The sequence below is a fragment of the Homo sapiens genome, chromosome X, assembly GCF_000001405.40.
Source record: "Homo sapiens chromosome X, GRCh38.p14 Primary Assembly".
Taxonomy (NCBI): Eukaryota; Metazoa; Chordata; class Mammalia; order Primates; family Hominidae; genus Homo; species Homo sapiens.
The window spans coordinates 90,964,837-90,966,304 of NC_000023.11; the positions used below are offsets into that span (position 1 = coordinate 90,964,837).

Here is a 1,468-nt window from a genome sequence, read left to right on the forward strand (position 1 = left end):
TTTTTGTTGTTGTTGTTTAAAAGTGGGCACGGGGATTGTTCTTAAAAATAATTTTATGACTTAATCCTCTAACAAATATTTTCATTTTAAGTGGATGCCCTTTCTAATATATATAAATTTTAAAGATCAGCATCTTTGCAAACTTCCTTTTAGTTTAACATACATTTTCCCTTACAAGTTCAATTTTGTATTTTTGTCTTTATTTTATTCCTTTGTTTTTTTATTCTATGTATTGTCGTCAGGACCAGATAACCTGCTGTCTTCCACCCTCTTAAAAAAAGCAATTAGTTGGCCGAGCGCGGTGTCTCTTGCCTGTAATCCCAGCACTTTGGGAGGCGGAGGCGGGCGGATCACGAGGTCAGGAGATCGAGACCATCCTGGCTAACACGGTGAAACACCATCTCTACTTAAAAAACATACAAAAAATTAGACGGGCGTGGTGGCGGGCGCCTGTAGTCCCAGCTACTCCGGAAGCTGAGGCAGGAAAATGGCAAGCTCCGGGAAGCGGAGCTTGCAGTGAGCCGAGATCGCCACTCCAGCCTGGCCGACAGAGCAAGACTCCATCTTAAAAAAAAGAAAAAAAAAAAAGCAATTAGTTCTGATTTAGTGTTTTCATCCTTCTTTATAATTATAATCTGCATTGCTTTTCTTATTTATTATTTTCTAACTCCCATGTATAGTCACTATATATAACTATATAATTGTTGTTTCCTTATAGATTCAGTTATGTCCAAAGCTATCACTTTTCTACATTTTTTTTTTGCAATTTCAGTGTGAAATCAAATGTTCCAGCTTTTCTGTGAATCCCCATATTTCTTTTAGATAAGCTAAATCTCTGAGATTTAAGCCCATTGAAATATATTCTGATTTGATCCTTCTCTTTTAGCAGGTTATATGCTATGTTCCTTTATTCTTTTCCAATATCTTTGCTTGACATTAGTCTTAATAAAATATTTATGTACCAGGCATCTCCAAAGTTTCTTTCTTTATTTGTTAATATACTTGCTTTTGTAATTTTGATCCAATATTTTTTCAGAGGGGATGTAAGATGGCTTACATCAATACATGCAATTCACACATCATTCATTTGCATGTTCTCACAACCTCTAGGAGAAAATATGAAAACTGCCTTTCTGCTACATACTGTACTAGTGCTGGGACATTTGAATATTGTAATGATAAGAACCAGAATTTATTATAACAATAAGAACAGAAAAGGCAGAGGGAGGAAGATAAATCAAAATGGCTTAATTTACTTTATTCTATATTATTTTAATAGGGATAGTTTATAAATTATCAACTTAAAAATATCTTTCATTTTTTAAAAAAAAATTTGCCTGGAAGTTTTCAATAAGTTATCTTTTGGTCAAATTATCCTCTTGAGACTATTTTTGGGCACCCATCAAGCTTACTTAACCAAAAGTTTCCATGCTTATTTTAATCTTAGAGCTGTACATTGAATATTCAA

The 1,468-nt window shown here is 33.8% G+C and overlaps 1 annotated feature.

Moving 5' to 3' along the window:
- Positions 231–389: a silencer, noted in NCBI's record as "fragment chrX:90220066-90220224 (GRCh37/hg19 assembly coordinates)". NCBI's record gives its function as "represses an EF-1alpha promoter that drives an FKBP-Casp9 reporter gene in an ReSE screen in K562 erythroleukemia cells {active_cell/tissue: K562}" and the evidence as "EXISTENCE:reporter gene assay evidence [ECO:0000049][PMID:32094911]".